Genomic DNA, 15,748 nt, shown 5'->3' with positions numbered 1-15,748 from the left:
ACGCACAAAGAAAGGAAGGAAAGAAGGGTTTCATTGAAAATGAAAGTACACTCTACATTATGGGAGCAGGCCTGAGCATAAGGCCTCAAAATCCCCATTATAGAATTTTTGAGCATTTAAATACCCTCTACTTGGGGTACACCCTATGTAAATGAAGAGGATGAAGTAAAGCTACAAAGTCATTTAGTTGGCCTACACCCTGTGAAGAGGATATTTCCTGTCATTACCGAAGTGTGAATCGGCCTTCTGTTCCCTGCCTCCAGACCCTATTTTCCTGGCTCATCTGCCCGCTGAGAGATGTGATCCCCATAAATCTTTATGGGAGGCAGAGGGACTGATGGTCTTTTTTCTGTAACTGCTTCATGCTGGCTTGGGGTGTAGTCCCTACCTACTGGTGATCATGGAACTCGCCCTGCTCTATCTAGTGGAGGCAGGGTAGTTTCTTGATGGCTAGGGGTGGTGTCTTCACCTGGAACTGGCTGGAACCTTTGTTGCATGATCATCTGAAGCTTGATGGTCTCCAGACGAGAGGAAATTAATTTGGTTAAAAGATTTAATGGGATGGCCGGGCGCGGTGGCTCACGCCTGTAATCCCAGCACTTTGGGAGGCCGAGGCGGGCGGATCACGAGGTCAGGAGATCGAGACCATCCTGGCTAACACGGTGAAACCCTGTCTCTACTAAAAATACAAAAAATTAGCCGGGCGAGGTGGCGGGCGCCTGTAGTCCCAGCTACTCCGGAGGCTGAGGCAGGAGAATGGCGTGAACCCCAGGGGGCGGAGCCTGCAGTGAGCCGAGATTGCGCCACTGCACTCCAGCCTGGGCGACAGCGAGACTCCGTCTCAAAAAAAAAAAAAAAAAAGATTTAATGGGAACTTCATGGGGTGGATACCTACGCTGTCAGAGATGTTTGTTATAGAGATTTGCAGAAAAAAAAACAAAACCTAGTCTGTTCTAGAATCTATGTTTCCTTGAAGTCTTAGCACAAGCAACTCCATTTTGGTTTGGTTTGGTTTGTTGGGGCCTAATGCATGAGCTTAGTCCAAAACAATGGCCTCGCAAAATTTTGTGCAAAAAATTCCCCCTTTTTGGTCAGGTTCTCACTTAGGTGAGAGTGTGACCAAAACTTAGGGCCTTAGCGCCACTCTCAGTTACCATCATTTTGGGTTTCGGTCTCAGCACATCATTTATAGGTTTTGGTGTTCTCATGGTTGCACATTTCTTTCAGCTTTTGTCATTCCAGTTGAAGAGAGAACATCTGACGTTCTAGAGATGACCGCGTGCAAACATTTAAAACCTTTGAGAGAATACAGCACACCAGGGAGACTATTATTATAAATATTGGGAGGATAACACCAAGAGTTCGGGGTATGCTCCTAAACCCAAGGCCCCGATAAACCAAACCTCCTAAAATCAAATAGATCAAAGAATGAGCTAGATAAAGGGTTTACTCACTTGACTAAGCAATTTCTTCGTTAATCCTCTACCACTGAATTTATTTTTTTCTTTTTTCCTTTTTTTTTTTTTTTAGACGGAGTCTTGCTCTGTCGCCCAGGTTGGAGTGCAGTGGCACAGTCTTGGTTCACTGCAACCTCTGCCTTCCGGGTTCAAGCAATTCTCTTGCCTCAGCTTCCTGAGTAGCTGCGATTACAGGCACCTGCCACCACGCCTAGCTAATTTTTGTATTTTTAGTAGAGATGGGGTTTTGCCATGTTGGCCAGGCTGATCTTGAACTCCTGACCTCAGGTGATCTGCCTGCCTCGGACTCCTAAAGTGCTGGGATTACAGGTGTAAGCCACCGCGCCCAGCCAATGAGGGATACATTTCTAATCATTGCTTCTTTTACTTCAAACCATGGTAAAAGGACCTAACAAATGATGCCTTTCTAGAAGAGTGAAGGCCTACTGGCAATGTTTTCTTTAACCCATGATGTGGGTTAGAGGAGTGAACCAATGTTTTGTTTTTGACTGATTATGAAGCAATGCATGTACCATTAAAGTTTCTTACCTACTTCGGGCCTTCATCTTTTATCTATCAAAGTCTAAGTTTATCCATGTATAAGGCTGGCTGCAAACTCCTTCACAAATAAAAGTATACCCCATAAGTGCACATAACAGACCCCTTTTCCACTTCTATTGTTTGTAGAGGCATAAGGAAGACAAAAAATATTGAAAGATAAGAGTTTCATGGTAGTAGAAGTCTTAATCTGTGAACTTGGGAAAAGCTGTTCACATCAAGGATGCCATTTTCTTCTTGGGAGAAATTTCCCAGGGTAGCTTTACCTCAAAAGTTCCAATGGGTGCACTGTTCCAAAAGTGTGGAGGGACCGTTCTCATTTGCGAGACCATGAACCCAAAGCCCAAGGTCCTGAAGTTTTGTTGTAGTGTGGATGACAAGGACAGTCTTCTCCAATGTTTCCAGAAAATTCAAACCATAAAAAGCTTTCTTTACCGGGGGAAAATACACTGTAGCATAATAATCTACTGTTATAACATCAGCCCTCTTGCATGGGAAAGCTTTTATACAACCAGAATGACAAATTGGAATTCAAATAACAATTGAATGAAATCCCCTTACAAAATGTTTAAATGGCCCACCCGGTGACCAAATGTACATGAAGCTTTGTTTGTCTTCCCAGGAATATGGGACTAAGCATTGGTTATAAACTATTTTAAACAATTTCAGTATCAGCTGGTTTAATATGAAAATCTGACGAAGTATTTTCTTGGTATTTAATTAAATTTTTGCTTGTTTTACTTGGGTTAGTAGCTTTATGCAAGGAAATTTCATTCAAAGCAATGAAAAACAACAACCAGGGCTGATACTGACTACTAAAAACTGTTTTAAACTCAGAAGGAAAAATAATATGGATTTCAGGCGTTCCCAGGTTATAAATGGGTTTTCTGCATGTTTGAAACCAAAAACAAACTTTCCTATAGAAATATCAGTAAATCTAGCAAAGAAATAACACACCCCAACCGTGTCATAGCCTGTCTTAAATAAGGGAAAAACATGAGAGCACTAGTAAGAGGCAAGTAAAGGGTGCTTTGCTTTACAATTGATGGAAGCTCGCAGGCTTTGTTCTTGGCTGCCCCACGCAGCCAGCGGAAGGCAGGCCAAGGAGGAAAGAGCCCGGCCTCCCAGGTCCCCGCAACTACAACTCCCAGGATGCCGCGGCGCAGGCTCCCTGCGGGAGCAGGCTGGGCTCAGCTCCGCTGGACCCGCGCTGGGGAACTCTGGCCTCGCTGCACTCATGGCTTCTCCTAGCAAGGCAGTGATTGTTCCCGGGAACGGAGGCGGGGATGTGACCACCCACGGCTGGTATGGCTGGGTGAAAAAGGAGCTGGAGAAGGTAAGCGCCCAACGCCGCTGCTCCGTGAAGTCAGCCTGGAGGGAGGGACGGCGGGAGAGGACTGAGGGCTGAAGTTTGAATAGGCGTCTAATCCCCTCTAGCAAAGCCCTGTGTGTTTTCCTGCCTCTCCCCCGCTGCCTTCTCTTAAAGTCTGAGCTAGTGGTCGAATTTTGACTGGTAAAACTGCCTGGAAGACTTCTCTGAGGGCTCAGCCTTTAGAGTTAAAGGAACCCCTTTGAACTACCGAGGCTGAGCCCCTGAGCCCCGCCCCCCGTATCTGCTGCTGGTTCAGATTTGGGACTTCCCAGATAATTTTACATGTTCACTGCTTCCCGCTTCAGCTTTTAAAAAATTAAATATGCTATACTTAATATATACAAAGGATATACGTAACATGCGTCTACATTATGAGGCATAATGTAATGAATTACCAAACTAAAACCTGGGACATTGCCTATACATCATCTTCCAAACGACCCTTATGTCTACCCATCTCAGTCCCGTGCCATCCTGAATTTTTTCATCTGCTTCTCTTTTTAAAATTGAAGTACTTTTCAACCTATGAATATACCTTTTAAACAACAGACTGTTCTATTTGGCTTCTTGGTGAGCTTTATAAAAGTGGCATCTTACTGTAGGCTGACCTGTGCCGTTTGATTTTTATTTTTTAACCCTCTTCTGTAACCAGGCGGTAAGTCGGCTCCCTGGGTTGCTGTCCTCTAGAGCGGGTCTCCAGAATAGATTGCAGCGCTGTGGCTGAAAACCCTGGTCAGAGTTACAACCCCAAAGGTCAGGGCTGGAGCTTCTGAGAGTATGCTGTCTCCAAATTTCTGTATCACGTTCCTGTGCCACGTTTTACCTACTCCCTGGAACACAGTCTATTTGGCTCCAGGTCAGTCTGTCTAGAACACATTTGTTCATGCCTCTCTATAGATGCAGGCCTGTAGAGGCAAATATGGGTGTACAAATGCAGATATAGGTCTCTCTATAGAGATCAGCAGAGCTGCCTAGATACAGAACTACAGATGGAGTTCATGCGAAAAGATGGTCACTTAACCTACTTCATTTCATAACACAAGTTAATACTGAATTGGTAACGATCATATCAGGTGCCTCATTTCTTATTAGCAAAGTATTAGTTGTAATTAAGCTCTTTATTATAGCTTTTTCTCCCCCCTCATATCATAGATACCTGGTTTCCAGTGTTTGGCTAAAAACATGCCCGACCCAAGTAAGTTTTAAACTTGTTTTTAAATAGCCTCATCTTGTTGGGTTTTGATATTACCATTTTTGTGGTAGAGAACAAGAATATCATAGTGGAGGAACCAAAGATGCCTATATACCTAAGAAAGAATAAGGCAAGCAGCTTGGGGAGGAGGGTGTGAACCAAAAGCCATAGAAAATTCTTTTTTTTTTTTTTTTTTCAATTCTGTGAATTTGTCATTTTTATTTATTTATTTATTTATTTATTTATTTATTTATTTATTGATCATTCTTGGGTGTTTCTCGCAGAGGGGGATTTGGCAGGGTCACAGGACAATAGTGGAGGGAAGGTCAGCAGATAAACAAGTGAACAACGGTCTCTGGTTTTCCTAGGCAGAGGACCCTGCGGCCTTCCGCAGTGTTTGCGTCCCTGGGTACTTGAGATTAGGGAGTGGTGATGACTCTTAACGAGCATGCTGCCTTCAAGCATCTGTTTAACAAAGCACATCTTGCACCGCCCTTAATCCATTTAACCCTGAGTGGACACAGCACATGTTTCAGAGAGCACAGGGTTGGGGGTAAGGTCACAGATCAACAGGATCCCAAGGCAGAAGAATTTTTCTTAGTACAGAACAAAATGAAAAGTCTCCCATGTCTACCTCTTTCTACACAGACACGGCAACCATCCGATTTCTCAATCTTTTCCCCACCTTTCCCCCCTTTCTATTCCACAAAACTGCCATTGTCATCATGGCCCGTTCTCAATGAGCTGTTGGGTACACCTCCCAGACGGGGTGGTGGCCGGACAGAGGGGCTCCTCACTTCCCAGTAGGGGCGGCCGGGCAGAGGCGCCCCTCACCTCCCGGATGGGGTAAGCCATAGAAAATTCTAGTAAGGATTAGGAAAGCACCTGGGCATGGTAAAATTTAATTTTCAACTTTGCACCAACTTGATTTTTCCCTTCTATATGTCTACAAATATTTTCAGGCAGAATTTGTGGGTACTATACTTGAGGCATAGGTATAAAACTTTACAGCATCTATTTGAGGTCCTAATGTTTAAAAATGTCATATTGCTACTTTTGTTCTGGGTATGCCTATGACTTGTCTCAGGAATCCCCTTTTTGGAAAGAATGAATAAATGTGAATTTTAGAATGTTGCAAGAGTTTTTTTGCTTTTTTTTTTGAGATGGAGTCTCGCTCTGTTGCCCAGGCCAGAGTGCTGTGGCGTGATGTTGGCTCACTGCAACCTCTGCCTCCTGGGTTCAAGTGATTCTCCTGTGTCAGCCTCCCAAGTAGCTGGGATTACAGGCATGCGCCATCACGCCTGGCTAATTTTTTTTGTATTTTTAGCAGAGACGGGGTTTCAGCATTTGGGCAGGCTGGTCTCGAACTCCTGACCTCAAATGATCTGTCCACCTCAGCCTCCCAAAGTGTTGGGATTATAGGTGTGAACCACTGCACCTGACCATTAGCTTTTTTTTTCAAGTTTGAAAGTTTACATTAAAATTTCAGAGTTATATTTTATTATTTCCTTAGTATTTTCTTACAAGAACATGGTAAACCAAAAAAAAAAAAAAAAAAGAGAAAAGAAAAACTAGTTACCAAAACTGTGGACTTGGATCTTTCAAGTAGTAATACATAAATCTTTGGTTTTGTTAATACAGTCTGGTCTCCTGCTGTGGTCCTGCAGTTTTAAAAGTTGTGAACTGCTGAATAGTTGCCTGTTTGAAAGGTGGGGCAGCGTTGGATTCAGACTGCCACTATCAAATGACAGACTTTTTCTTTACCCTGAACCTTAAGTTACAGCACGAGAGAGCATCTGGCTGCCCTTCATGGAGACAGAGCTGCACTGTGATGAGAAGACTATCATCATTGGCCACAGTTCTGGGGCCATCGCGGCCATGAGGTGCGATCTTTGTTAAACTGCTATCCCCTTTGTGGGCTCCAGTCATGCTTGCTTGAGAAATACCTTGCGTATATCTTAAATTTCTGTTGCAGAGGAAACAGTGCTGACCTCTAAAGTGGTAACATAATCTGTCCTAATTCCTTCCTGGTTTTGCTAGTGGATTGAAAGAAAACAAAAAATCTGCTCTTATTGAGATGCAGTGATCCTTTTAAAGCATAAGTGGCTGCAAACCCCAGTAGCTTCCCATCAGTCAGCTCTGATTCTGTCTCTACAGACTCTCCTTCTCTCCTCCCAGCCAGGTTTACTGACCTCATTGCAGTTCCTGGAACATGCCAAGTACATGCACATCTTAGCCTGCTCTCATCCTTCTACCTGGGATACTCTGGCCCTAGACACTGCATGGCTTTCTATTCCCCTTGAAGTGTCTGCTCAAATGTCCCCTTTTGGTGAAGCCTTCTCTAATCACTCCATATGAAATGGCTTCCTCACTCTACTGGCTCCTATCTCTTTTATATCTTATTATCTGCAGCACTTTTTACCATCTGACATCCTGTTTATTTCTTGTCTGTCTCCTGCCAATAGAATGTAGACTCCATGAAGGCAGGGCTTTGTTCACTCTGGCACTGAAACCCCATTGCCTAGAAGAGAGCCTGGCATATGGTAGATTGTGTCTGCAGTGTTACTCACCTGCGAATCCCCAGTCCTTAGGATTCGTATGCACATCCCTACTGCTCTCATTAGAATATTACATCTCCCCTTTTAGCCTTATAAGGCCTAGTGGGTAGGGACTTAGCTGGCTGAATAAGCTAAGTTTAGCCTATAAGGGTTGAGTTTCTTTCATATTTGCTAGGCAAAATGACAAAGGATAATAGTTTTTATTTGTCCCAAGCAGTCACTTAGGCTGTCACATGAATTGCATGTCAGGGAATCTTGCCAAATTTCATAACCTTTCAGCCACACTGATTAAAGTTACAAGAGTATTTCAGGATGGAACCACAAAATTATGGTACACTCCCAGTGTAAGAATGTTATATGCTGCCAGGGGTTGTCTGGAAAAGGAAGAGCTCCTTGTATTATTGAATTCTGTTCCAACTCAAGGCCAACTGCATTTTTCTCAAGCCATTGATTAGTAAAGGTGTGCCTGCTTTTAAAGATCCTTGAACTCACTGCAGGATTCTTAGCAACCTTCTAAGAATTGACTTCTAAAGTTAAGGGAGGCAAGGAGAAAAATGGATGCCAAAACGATTGGGTTAAGGTTGTAGAATTTCCTATTGACAAAATCATAGAGGACTACCCTACAGATGACTCTAATCATGAAAGGGAAATCGTGCCTTTCCAATGGAGAAATCAGGTGGATATCACTTTAAGCAAATGATCAAACTTAATCTCACCAATAATAGACTGGCATCATGTGTCCCCTGATGTAATGGCATGGGAAGGACACAGCATCACCTATGCAGTATCCTTGCCAGAAATGTTTACCTCAGTCTAGTTAGGAGGAAACAGACAATCCTATTTAGAGGATAATGTACAAGACAACTGGCCTACACTCTTAAACAATGTTAATGTCATTTAAAACAAAAAAATTTTAAAGTGACTGAAGAGCCATGAAAATAAAATGCAATGCATAATCCTTGACTAGATCTAGGATTGCAGAATGTTTTAAAGGACATTTTTGGTACAGTTGGGGAAAAATGAATACAGATAATATTGCTGTATCAATGTGAAATTTATTGGGTGTAATAGTGGTACCATGGTTAAGGGAGTGGCTTTCTCAGGAGATACATGCTAAAGTACGGGTGAAATGTGACAAAATTAATGAATCTAGGTGCTTGTTCTTTTTTTTTTTTTTTTTTTTTTTGAGACAGAGCCTCCCTCTGTTGCCCGGGCTGGAGTGCAGTGGCACAATATCGGCTCACTGCAACCTCTGCCTCCCAGGTTCAAGCAATTCTCCTGTCTTAGCCTCCCGAGTAGCTGAGACTACAGGCGCCTGCCACCACACCTGGCTAATTTTTGTATTTTTAGTAGAGACGGGGCTTCACCATATTGGTCAGGCTGGTCTTGAACTCCTGACCTCAGGTGATCTGCCTGCCTTGGCCTCACAAAGTGCTGGGATTACAGGTGTGAGCCACCGTGCCCGGCCTAGGTGCTTGTTCTTTCAACGTTTCTGTAGGTTTGATATTTTTCAAAATAAATGGGGAAAAAAGTTCAGGCCCAAGAACAAAATACCAACCCTAACTCTTTCTTGGCACAAAGGCCCCTTGAAATTATTACTACTATGTGTCTTTCCTTATCCCAGTCTTTGCTGAGGGAGACTGCTCTCTGCAAATATAACTGTGGTTTTTGCCAATAAAGGAGACTCACTCTACTGGCTCCTATCCTCTTTATATCTTATTATCTGTAGTACTTTTCACCTAGATCTAGTCAATCCTAGATCTAGTCAAGGATTATGCATTGCATCTGACATCCTGTTTATTTCTTGTCTGTCTCCTGCTTACTTTTAATGGCAAAAACTGCAATTACTTTTGTACCAACCTAAGAGTTAGCTGGGTGTCTACTTGCCAGGCACTGTAATGGGCACCAGGAACACAAAGATCAATAGGACTCATGCCTGCCTTTAAGGAGCTGACAATTTATTGAGAGAAATGTACATAAGACAACACAAATGAATAATATAAGGCAATGTGGAGTGTGTGGTAACAAAGGTACATTTCTGGTATTATACAGTGTTTCTTAAAATACAGTTCACAGACCACTTGCATTAGAGTCATCTGGGTTGAAGGAGGGATCACGCCTTAAAATGCAGATTCTAGGCCTTAATGCCAACTTTCTGAATCAGAGACTCTGGGTCTGAGCCTGAGAATCTGCATGTTCACCAACCAAGTGACACTGATGCATACTAAACGTGGATGGATTACACATTTTTTGTTTATTGGGAAAGGTTTGTACAAGTTTCAACTACCTTGAAAAATGGGTAGTGGCTGGGCGTGGTGGCTCACGCCTGTAATCCCAGCACTTTAGGAGGCCGGGGTGAGTGGATTATTTGAGGTCAGGAGTTCAAGACCAGCCTGGCCAACATGGTGAAACCCCGTCTCTACTAAAAATACAAAATTAGCTGGGCGTGGTGGTGCATGCCTGTTATCCCAGCTACTCAGGAGGCTAAAACAGGAGAATTGTTTGAACCCAGGAGGTGGAGGTTGCAGTGAGCCAAGATTGTGCCACTGCACTCCAGCCTGGGTGACAGAGTGAGACTCTGTCTCAAAAAAAAAAAAAAAGAAAAATGAGTAGAAGCTCATCCAGTAGCCAGGGTTGGGCTTATAGTTCTGCAGTTTCCTTGCCATTTTTCACATCAACCTCAACAGCAGGTAGCACGTGCTTTCTGTAGGCTACCTCAAATGAGTTTTTAAGTAGTTTATTGACTTTTTGGTGATCAGAGGTAACATTATATATTAGCTGACATCATTTTTGTTTCTCCAGGTATGCAGAAACACATCGAGTATATGCTATTGTATTAGTGTCTGCGTACACATCAGACTTGGGGGATGAAAATGAGCGTGCAAGTGGTAAGTCCAAAGGTAGAAATCTGAGCAAAGCCCTTCTCTAGACATGGGGCTGTCTGTTTAGGTTGTAAAAACAGTGCTGTCTTTCAGATAGGCTAAAAAATTCTAATAGCATATGAGAAAGATATACCACCTATCTTTGGATATAAGTTTGCACTTTGATTTCTTCCCAAGCTGTAAGTCTAGAACTGAACCCTAGAGGCCTGGTTTTAGTTGAACCATATACCACCTCTTCACGAGTAACTGTGGTATCAAGCCCTACAGATTTGAAAACAAAAGAAGTGCTTCTAACTCACACGGAGGCTCTGCTCCTTTGCGTCTCTATGTGGGTCGCCAGTAGGTATTTTAGAATATCTAGAAGGGAGATTATCCATGGGTACTGAAAGATCATTTTTTTTTCCCCATAGGATACTTCACCCGCCCCTGGCAGTGGGAGAAGATCAAGGCCAACTGCCCTTACATTGTGCAGTTTGGCTCTACTGACGACCCGTTCCTTCCCTGGAAGGAACAACAAGAAGTGGCCGATAGGTTGGAAACCAAATTGCACAAATTCACTGACTGTGGCCACTTTCAGAACACAGAGTTTCATGAACTGATTACTGTTGTAAAGTCTTTGCTGAAAGTACCAGCATAGACTGTATGATTTCTGCTATTTTGCATCCCAATATAGGAGTAGAATAATATCTACTATCAGCTGATTACTAGACACATAGAACATCCAGTTAAGTTCCGTAAGTGCCTGAAAAACAAACACAAGTTTCAACATTCAATCTAAGTTACAAATAGCACTTCCATTTTCCATAGACTCTAAAACTCCCCAAATTGCTATGAACTACCACAGTATTTTCCTCATTTGATAAGAAACATAAGGACAGCTTAACTACCCTTCTCTATCCGAAGTGAGTCAGAAACAGAACCCAGGTTTCTTGATTCCCACTCCTGAGTAAAATTAAATAGGTTTTATGTATGTTGCAGGTATTGCACACTTTTCCTCTTTGAAATCAAACTTTTCTATTTCACTGGGGAAAGAAAACATGACTGAAAGTCCAGAGTGTTAGCTTAGAGCTCAAAATACTAGCTGCTGTTTCAAGCTGGCCCCAGACATTAAACTCAGACTAGGGCCTTCACCTCTGACACTTGCCCCTAAGTCCTTCAGACATGTTGAGAGAGACTGAGACAGGAGTCTTCCGGAGTCAGGCAGGAAGGAGAAGCACAGCAATATACATTCATAATATACGTACAACTGACTAGATTTGTTTGAGACAAGAGTGGTGGGATCAGAGCCATGTGGAGAGCTCATGGCCTGTCTAAATTGTTGCCATGTGGAAATGGGGCAGAGTGTTGCCAATTTTCTGATTTTTTGTGTGGAAAAAAATCTCCAAATTGTAGTTTTTAAATTTGGGGAATGCAAATATATATATATATACACACACACACACACACATACACATACAATCCATATACATATGGAGTATGTAAGTTGGCAATAACAGTATACATCAAAAAATTTACAAACACTGCAAGACAAATAAAATCCAAGCCATCCATTTGTGACCACAGTCATAAGCATTCACTTAGCCAGGGGCTTTTAGATAATTGTCTGTGAAGTCTGAGAAAAGACTAAGATAACCAAGATGAACATAATGTCAAAGGACGAAATCATGGGGACAATTTGGATTTTGTTCCAAAAGACAAGTGTTTTTAAAAAGAACCTTTCCATACTTCGTGTTCTGTTCTATAGAGTTAAACCTTTTAACTTCCATGGCCCTTTAGATCTCTTTCAAGCACATTCCATTTTCTTCTGATCATACTTCCTCAGAAAACCTTTTTTTGGCTGGGTGTGGTGGCTCATGCCTGTAATCCCAGCACTGTGGGAGGCTGAGGTGGTTGTATTGCTTGAGGCCAGGTGTTTGAGGCCAGCCAGGGCAACACAGCAAGACCCCATCTCTACAAAATATTAAAACATTAGCTAGGCATGGTGGTGCACACCTGTAGTCCTAGCTTCTTGGGAGGCTGAGGCAGGATTGCTTGAGCCCAGGAGTTTGAGCCTTCAGTGAGCTATGATCGCGCCACTGTACTCCATCCTGGGTGATGGAGCGAAGAACCTGTCTCTTAAAAAAAAAAATTTTTTTTTAATTAAAAAAACCCACCCTTTTTCATTTCCCAACATTTTTTGGCTATTATGATCGCTATGTGTTCCTTCAAATAATTTCCAGTGAATCCACACTTGATGTTGCAAAGCCTAAGTTTGCTGCAGAAATACAATTTCCTACACTTCATACCTAAAGGAGATTCAGAGCTATCGCTCAAAACCAAAAGTCTTGGTTTTTAAATGTGCTTAGACAAAAAAAATCAGGAAAGGTACCCTAATCGTTCAACAGCAATCATCTTTGGGGAATGGGCATTTTGGTAGGTAAAGTGTGGTGGACGTCCTTATTATTATTTTTGAGACAGTGTCTTGCTCTGTCTCCCAGGCTGGAGGTCAGTGGCACAAATCTCAGCTCACTCTAACCTGCACCTCCCGGGTTCAAGTGATTCTCATCTCAGCCTCCCAAGTAGTGTGAACTAAAGGCATGTGCCACCACGCCTGGCTAATTTTTGTATTTTTAGTAGAGACAGGGTTTCACCATGTTGGCCAGGCTGGTCTCGAACTCCTGGCCTCAAGTGATCCACCCACCTCAGCCGCCCAAAGTGTTGGGATTACAGGCATGAGCCACCATGCCCGGCCCCTTATTTTACTTTATCCTCCTGATTATTTGAATTTGTTACACTAAGCATGTATTTTATAATCAAAAATAATTAAGATTTAAAACAATGTATTTGACTACTAAAAAGCAAATTATATAAATCAGTTGAATAATAATGTTGTTAAAGAGGCTGTTTAGCACTAATTTGACCAAATCTATAGTCAAAGTTTGATTCTACTTGAATTTTTTGGAAATTTGCTGTTGTATTACTTATTCTTTGCCTTGTTCTCTGTGAAGTCCTTTCCTAAAAAAGAAACTTATACAATTTAGTTCACAAAACTTTGTTGACCTCTTTCTCTGTAGAAATGAAAACTAAATATATATAATTGAGAAATAATTCTGATACTCTTCATTCCTATAAAAGTAATTAAGATAGACCTATAGGATTGTTGAACTTTGCTGCCAAATATAGTAACCAGTAACCACAGCTAGCTGTAAAATTGAAAATTCAGTTCAGTCAAACTAGCCATATTTCAAGTGCTCAACAGCCACTGGTGGCTATTGGTTACCTTACTGACCAGCCAATATAGGCTATTTCCGTCATTATAGAAAGCTCTATTGGACAACATTGGTCTAGGACATATATTTTGTATTTTCCCCTCACCCACCATCCAATAATGAGTAATAGCACAAAGTAAAAGTGACTTAATTTGAAATTACTTCTGTTTGGCTAGTTTGCTTAGCTGATCACCACCAACATCATAGGTCTATAAATCACCCAACTAAGATCAGGGGTGTTTCATGGGAAAATCTACACAAACTATTCATTAAAAACCATAGAGCCATGGACTGTCATTTCTGATTTCTGTTTGATTCTTTGTGGTCATCATTGAATATACAGGGGCCTCTATACACTCTGGGGAGTATCTATTCTCAGGTGAGCAAAATACCGAATACTGAATGGAAATCAACTGTAAGTATTAGGACTTCATATGCAACTTGAATTTTTGGTGCTGTCCGGAGTCTAGAGCCCCACAATCTGTTTTGGTTACAGTTTATCCCTGTAGGATAAATGATCCATTTAACTATTCATCAGAGGTGCTGTAATTTTAAATTGTCTCTTGTCTCCTTCAGTTAATTTTCAGAATTAAAAACATACCATGGGAAAAAAGCTTGAAGTTTCTCTTTATTGGTGAGGTAAGGAATACTTTTGTTTTAGCCATTGAATGTTAAGCTCTAAAAACCAATCTTTAGCTATAAAGACATAAGACAAAGTCTATATTTAAAACATACAAGCTGGTTTCTTCTCATTTCTAGCTCTCTTCCAAGTTCATTTTTCTTACTACATAAAACTAGTGCCTTTTTGATAGGCCAAGTCCCAGGAAGGACAGACATTGTTCTTACCATTCCAACTCTCACTGAGGGTGGAAGAGAAACCCTCTGTCTGTAGTTTCAGGTTCCCAGATCCTTCATATATATATATATATATATATATATATATATATATATATATATATATATATATATATATTTATATTTACATATATATATATTTATATTTACATATATATTTTTATATATATTTATATATATATTTATATTTATATATATTTATATATATAATTTTTTACAGTCCAGAGATCTTTTATTAACACTTATTATGCCATGAATTCATACGGAATAAGTTCCAGCAGCTCAGGCTCCTTCCCATTGGTTCTCACAAAGTGTGCTTCTCTGGGTGGAGCAGGCTGGCACTTCAGTTGAACCCAGGTAACTTTCTCTCTTTTTTTTTTTTGGAGACGGAATCTCGCTGTCACCAGGCTGGAGTGCAGTGGCGCGATCTCAGCTCACTGCAACCTCCGCCTCCCAGGTTCAAGCGATTCTCCTGCTTCAGCCTCCTGAATAGTTGGGACTACAGGTGTGCGCTACCATGCCCAGATAATTTTTGTATTTTTAGTAGAGACAGGGTTTTACCATATTGGCCAGGATGGTCTCGATCTCTTCACCTCGTGATCTGCCCGCCTGAGCCTCCCAAAGTGCTGGGATTACAGGCGTGAGCCACCATCCCTGGCAAACCCAGGTACCTTTCTCTTTGGCTTCTTTTTTTTTTCTGATCATTTTCCTCATGCATTTCAGGAAGCTATCTCGGCTCTTAGAGTGCTTCATGTGCTCAGTATGCACATTAATGCTCTTGGCAAGAATATTGCCCTTGTTTATTTACAACAATGCCAACAGCATGCTGGGTAACACTGTAGACTCTTCCAGTTTTGCCATGGTAACACTTGTGGGGCATTCCTTTTTGAACAGTACCCATTCCCTTGATGTCTACAATATCACCTTTCTTATAGATTCGCATATACGTGACCAAAGGAACAACTCCATGTTTTCTAAAAGTCCTAGAGAACATATATCGGGTGCCTCTCCTCTTTCCGTTTGTGTTCATCATTTTGGCAAATTACTGGAAGATGGGGGTTCTGGCCAAAAGGCTGTGTATCTTATATATGTATGTATATTCAATACTTGAAATAATTTTTGTTACAAAGAGCTAGTGTCATCAAATGCTAATTCACAGAATGTGGCCTGAATTTTATTTTACTGATACCATTTATCTTAAAATAACTCTTCTGATATCCACTTAGAGCATCTCCAAACTGGTATTAGAACCCAACCCTCAGTACTAGTGGAGCTTGAATTCCTTTCCATGGGTCCCATGTTTTTGGCTTGGATACAGAAACTTCTAAGTGGAGCTACAAAGTGAAAATATGAAGCTGCAATTCTAAAAAGCCGCACAGTCAACTTCTGTGCAACAATACATCAAATAACCTAGTGTTTTCTATGTGGCTGACCATAGGAACTGAAAGTGTTATTAGAACTGAGGACAATTATAATGGCTTTCTGCTTAGACACATCACACCATGATTTAGAACAGAATAAGGAAGGGAAATAAATCTAAAACAGAGTAAGAGAAAAAGAATGTTATCCCCTCTCTCAAAATAAAGTGTGAATGGAGGGCACGGAGTATATTTAGTTTCAGTTAAT

The 15,748-nt window shown here is 41.5% G+C and overlaps 1 protein-coding gene and 1 pseudogene across 1 annotated transcript, besides 6 other annotated features; one reads left to right on the top strand and one right to left on the bottom strand.

The window, feature by feature from the left end:
- Positions 2,846–3,410: an enhancer, noted in NCBI's record as "H3K27ac hESC enhancer chr20:18477654-18478218 (GRCh37/hg19 assembly coordinates)". NCBI's record gives its function as "activates a minimal SCP1, AML or CMV promoter by ChIP-STARR-seq in naive H9 embryonic stem cells {active_cell/tissue: H9 hESC(naive)}" and the evidence as "EXISTENCE:reporter gene assay evidence [ECO:0000049][PMID:30033119]".
- Positions 2,846–3,422: a biological region, named in NCBI's record as "H3K27ac hESC enhancer GRCh37_chr20:18477654-18478218".
- Positions 3,033–3,092: an enhancer, noted in NCBI's record as "active region_17589". NCBI's record gives its function as "activates an Ori minimal core promoter by ATAC-STARR-seq in GM12878 lymphoblastoid cells {active_cell/tissue: GM12878}" and the evidence as "EXISTENCE:reporter gene assay evidence [ECO:0000049][PMID:35858748]".
- Positions 3,193–3,242: an enhancer, noted in NCBI's record as "active region_17588". NCBI's record gives its function as "activates an Ori minimal core promoter by ATAC-STARR-seq in GM12878 lymphoblastoid cells {active_cell/tissue: GM12878}" and the evidence as "EXISTENCE:reporter gene assay evidence [ECO:0000049][PMID:35858748]".
- RBBP9 (RB binding protein 9, serine hydrolase) lies at positions 3,195–13,880 on the top strand. The gene is made up of 5 exons (NM_006606.3): positions 3,195–3,351; positions 4,540–4,582; positions 6,357–6,462; positions 9,940–10,025; positions 10,430–13,880. Exons 1-5 carry the CDS (start codon positions 3,253–3,255, stop codon positions 10,654–10,656), a joined length of 561 nt encoding a protein of 186 aa, NP_006597.2. The 5' UTR covers positions 3,195–3,252; the 3' UTR covers positions 10,657–13,880.
- Positions 3,263–3,422: an enhancer, noted in NCBI's record as "active region_17587". NCBI's record gives its function as "activates an Ori minimal core promoter by ATAC-STARR-seq in GM12878 lymphoblastoid cells {active_cell/tissue: GM12878}" and the evidence as "EXISTENCE:reporter gene assay evidence [ECO:0000049][PMID:35858748]".
- Positions 3,593–3,642: an enhancer, noted in NCBI's record as "active region_17586". NCBI's record gives its function as "activates an Ori minimal core promoter by ATAC-STARR-seq in GM12878 lymphoblastoid cells {active_cell/tissue: GM12878}" and the evidence as "EXISTENCE:reporter gene assay evidence [ECO:0000049][PMID:35858748]".
- On the bottom strand, positions 14,353–15,195 carry RPL21P3 (ribosomal protein L21 pseudogene 3; annotated as a pseudogene).

The sequence above is a fragment of the Homo sapiens genome, chromosome 20 (assembly GCF_000001405.40).
Source record: "Homo sapiens chromosome 20, GRCh38.p14 Primary Assembly".
Taxonomy (NCBI): domain Eukaryota; kingdom Metazoa; phylum Chordata; class Mammalia; order Primates; family Hominidae; genus Homo; species Homo sapiens.
Note: the sequence above shows the minus strand (reverse complement) of the source record. Positions and strands in the feature narration are given on the sequence as shown.

Coding starts and splice junctions, on each gene's coding strand:
- RBBP9 (NM_006606.3), top strand. CDS start 3,253: ATGGCTTCTCCTAGCAAGGCAGTGATTGTTCCCGGGAACGGAGGCGGG. Junction 6,463..9,939: donor GGGGCCATCGCGGCCATGAG/GTGCGATCTTTG, acceptor TTGTTTCTCCAG/GTATGCAGAAACACATCGAG. Junction 10,026..10,429: donor TGAAAATGAGCGTGCAAGTG/GTAAGTCCAAAG, acceptor TTTTCCCCATAG/GATACTTCACCCGCCCCTGG.